Source organism: Homo sapiens, chromosome 2 (assembly GCF_000001405.40).
Source record: "Homo sapiens chromosome 2, GRCh38.p14 Primary Assembly".
Taxonomy (NCBI): Eukaryota; Metazoa; Chordata; class Mammalia; order Primates; family Hominidae; genus Homo; species Homo sapiens.
Genome location: NC_000002.12, coordinates 162,862,948 through 162,867,338, shown reverse-complemented (window position 1 = coordinate 162,867,338; position 4,391 = coordinate 162,862,948). Strand labels below are relative to the sequence as shown.

General features: G+C 41.5%; 2 annotated features.

Annotated features, from left to right (window-relative positions):
* Window positions 1,757-2,256: an enhancer, noted in NCBI's record as "H3K27ac hESC enhancer chr2:163721593-163722092 (GRCh37/hg19 assembly coordinates)". NCBI's record gives its function as "activates a minimal SCP1, AML or CMV promoter by ChIP-STARR-seq in primed H9 embryonic stem cells {active_cell/tissue: H9 hESC(primed)}" and the evidence as "EXISTENCE:reporter gene assay evidence [ECO:0000049][PMID:30033119]".
* Window positions 2,257-2,758: an enhancer, noted in NCBI's record as "H3K27ac hESC enhancer chr2:163721091-163721592 (GRCh37/hg19 assembly coordinates)". NCBI's record gives its function as "activates a minimal SCP1, AML or CMV promoter by ChIP-STARR-seq in primed H9 embryonic stem cells {active_cell/tissue: H9 hESC(primed)}" and the evidence as "EXISTENCE:reporter gene assay evidence [ECO:0000049][PMID:30033119]".

Below are 4,391 nucleotides of genomic sequence, written 5' to 3'. Positions count from 1 at the left end.
TTATTATCTCACAAGCATTATGTTAATTCCCTCAATCTCTGTCATAATATAGTACCGAGAGACCTGAATTACTTATATATTACACATGATATTGGGTATACCATATTAATAATATTGATTACTCAGATCAAATGAATAAATAGTAAAAAAATACATTGGGGGCTTTGGTACAATACATGAGGTTCTGCCCCTTTGGACATATGACCTAGCAGATCCTCTGATAGTAGAGCTATCTGTGTTGAGAAAAAAATACTATGTAGAGTTTGTGGCAAGTTCCAGTAGGAAAATTACATAGACCCCTGAGGTTCTGCAGAAAAGTTAATGATACGTGTTTCTGAAAACTACACATCAATTAAAAAGCAGCCCCTGATGTGATACTGGGCTTTCATAGAGATGGAGTGCCTGACCAGGGGCCATCAAACAACCATGCAACTCATCTTGAACTGACTCATGTCAGACACATCAAGTCATAAAATCAGGTGCACCCAGCATCAATTCATCATAAGGTGGAAGTTATACATAATGAATCTTGTGGAAGGAAATATATCTTGGGCCCCTTCAAGCTGGGAACCACTCCGGACAAAATTGGCCTCCCATTCTATTCAAAGTCATCCCTCTGCTCACAGAGATAGACGTGTATTCTGATTGCCTCCTTTGGAAAGACTTATCAGAATCTCAAAAGAATGCAACTATCTGTCTCTCACCTACCTGTGACATGAAAGCCCCCAGGGAGGTTGGAGGAAGTTTCTTTGAGTTGTCTCTACCTGTCTGGATGGAGCTAATGTATTTCTTACATATATCAATTGGTGTCTTATGTCTCCCTAAAATGTATAAAACCAAGTTGTGCCCCAACCACCTTGGGCACATGTTTTCAGGATTTCCTGAGGCTGGGTCATGGGTGTGTCCTCAACCTTGGCAAAATAAACTTTCTAAATGAACTGAGACCTATCTCAGATTTTCTGGGTTCACAATCTTACAGAAGCAGAGAAACTACACTAGCAGGGGACCCAGACTATCATGCCTTATACCACTTGATATGATTTGGCTGTATCCCCACCCAAATCTCATCTTTACTTGTAGTTCCCATAATACCGATGTTTTGTGAGAGGAACCCAGTGGGAGGTAATTGAATCATGGGGGCGGTTACTCCCATGCTGTTCTCGTGATAGTGAATTCTTATGAGATCTGATGGTTTTATAAGGAGATTTTCCCCCTTTGCTTGGCACTCATTCTCTCTCCTGCTTCCCTGTGAAGAGATGCCTTTTGCCATGATTGTAAGTTTCCTGCAGCCTCCCCAGCCATGCAGAGCCATGAGTCAATTAAACCTCTTTTATTTATGAATTATCCGGTCTTGGGTATTTTTTCATAGCAGCATGAGAATGGATTAATACAGTAAATTGATACTGCAGAGAGTGGGATAAAGATAACCGAAAATGCGGAAGCAACAACTTTGGAAGTGGGTAACCGGTAGAGGTTGGAACAGTTTGAAGGGCTCAGAAGAAGACAGGAAGATGTGAGAAAGTTTGGAACTTCCTAGAGACTTGTTGAATGGTTTTGACCAAAATACTAATAGTGATATGGACAATGAAGTCAAGGCTGAGCTGGACCCAAATGGAGATGAGGAACTTTTTGGGAACTGGAGTAAAGGTCACTCTTGCTATGTTTTAGCAATGAGAATGGCAGTGTTTTACCCCTGCCCTAGAGATCTGTGGAACTTTGAACTTAGGAGAGATGATTTAGGGTATATGGCAGAAGAAATTTCTAAGCAGCAAAACATTCAGGAGGTGACAGAATATAAAAGTTTGGAAAATTTGCAGCCTGACCATATGATAAAAAAGAAAAACCCATTTTCTTGGAAGAAATTCAAGCTGCTGCAGAAATTTGCATAATTAACGAGTAGCCAAATGCTAATCACCAAGACAATGGCGAGAATGTCTCCTGGGTATGTCAGAGACCTTCATGGCAGCCCCTCCCATCAAAGGCCTGGAGGCCTAGAAGGGAAAAATGGCTTCCTGGGCTGGGTCCAGGGTCTCCCTGCTGTGTGTAGCCTCAGGACTTGGTGCCCTGTGTCCCAGCCACTCCAACCATGGCTAAAAGGGGCCAAGGTACAGCTCAGGCTATTGCATCAGAGGGTGGAAGCCCCAAGCCTTGGCACACATGGTGTTGGTCCTGCAGGTGCACAGAAGCCAAGAATTGAGGTTTGGGAACCTCTGCCTAGATTTCAGAGGATGTAAGGAAATGCCTGGATGTCCAGGCAGAAGTTTGCTGCAGGGGCAGAGCAGAGATTCTCATGGAGAGGTTCTCCTGGACAACCTCTGCTAGGGCAGTGCAAAGGGGAAATATGGGGTCAGAACCCCCACACAGACACCCCACTGGGGCACTGCCTAGAGGAGCTGTGAGAAGAGGGCCACCATCCTCCAGACCCCAGAATAGTAGATCCACTGACTTCTTGCACTGTGTACCTGGAAAAGCCACAGATGCTCAATGCCAGCTCGTAAAAGCAGCCAGGAGTGGGGCTGTGCTCTGCAGAGCCACAGGGGCAGAGCTGCCCAAGGCCATGGGAGCCCACCACTTGCATCAGCGTGACCTAGATGTGAGACATGGAGTCGAAGGAGATCATTTTGGAACTCTAAGGTTTAATGACTGCCCTATTGGATTTCAGACTTGCATGGGGCCTGTAGCCCCTTTGTTTTGGCCAATTTCTCCCATTTGGAATGGCTATATTACCCAATGCCTGTACCCCCATTGTATCTAGGAAGTAACTAACTTGTTTTTGATTTTACAGGCTCATAGGTGGAAGGAACTTGCCTTGTCTCAGATGAGACTTTGGACTTGGACTTTTGGGTTAACGCTGGAATTAATTAAGGCTTTGGGGAACTGTTAGAAGGGCATGATTGTGTTTTGAAATGTAAAGACTTGAGATTTGGGAGTAGCCAAGGATGGAATGATAAGGCTTGGCTCTGTGTCCCCACTCAAATCTTACCTTGAATTATAATAATCCCCACATGTCAAGGGCAGGACCAGATGGAGGTAATTGAACCTTTGGTGTGTTTTCCTCCATGCTGTTCTCCTGATAGTGAGTGAGTTCTGACAGGATATGATGATTTTATAAGCATCTGGCATTTCCCCTGATGGCACTTCTCACTCTTGCTGCGAGGTGAAGAAGGACATGTTTGCTTCCCCTTGTGCCATGGTTGTAAGTTTCCTGAGGCCTTCCCAGCCATGTGGAAGTGTGAGTCAATTAAGCCTCTTTTCTTTTTAAATATAGGCTGGTATTTCTTCATAGCAGCATGAGAATGGACCAATACAGTTGCTTATCAACCACTTTGAGAAGAGCAGTGACCATTGGTGGAGAGATACAGCCAGCCCTGGTTGACCTTGCAAGAGAATAAATACTTTGGTCTCACTCTCTGGTTGGTTCACTCATTGATAAACTTAATCAGAATCATAGGGCAAGGGAATGCTGATCATGCAGTCCATGTGGTTCAGCCTCCTAGGGCAAAGTACAGGGTGGAAAATATTGGATAATGGATTCATAGGGACAAACAGAGTAAGGACTTTAGTATCATTCATAGCACTCATAGGTCCTGGCAGGATTATATGAATACTATATAAACATACACTTTATAAATACTTGGTAATGATATTTAGTTTAATATTTAAAAAGAAGCAATGTGATTGTGTTAGTTAATTAAATAAATATTTATTACCACCTACCATGTGATAAGCATGCTTATTCAAGTCCTGAGGATATAGTGGTAAACAATACAAACAATGAAAAAAAACCCTGCTTTGCGAAGATTACACATGTCATATAGCAAGCATATATGACAGAGTTGTAAAAGAATTTGTTATATGTGAAAGATTCATTTAAATAGATTTCAAATCTAATAACAAAATCCTTTATGTGTTTATTAATTTACAAAGGTCACTTGAAAAAAATAAATAATAAATTTCTTTAAAAGTTATATATGGAATTTTAAAAGTTTAATGTAAAAACACATGTAGTAAATTGTTTAAAATGTTGTTTCATGTTTGTCTAAATCCCCATTGTGTTTTCTTAATAGTAGGTGAACATGTATAGATTTCTGTCTATATATGAGAGCCCTTGGCCATAAAGCCCAAATGGATGTGAGTGAATTTTCATGCAAATAAATTCCAAAGATGCAGAGTACTCCAGTTTTCAGTGAACTTCCAGCTTAGTTTAGCCCCCTGCATTACATCATTAGTAAGTATTTTTTGGGGGTGGGGAAGGCTGGGAAAATTAGGTACTAAATCTTTCAATTTTAATTCTCAACATACTCTTCAGGTAGTTCTGTGACAGACCAAAGGCTTTAACAGGGGTTGTAACATTTTTTAAGGGTTAAATATGAGAAGTGCATTAATTTCAT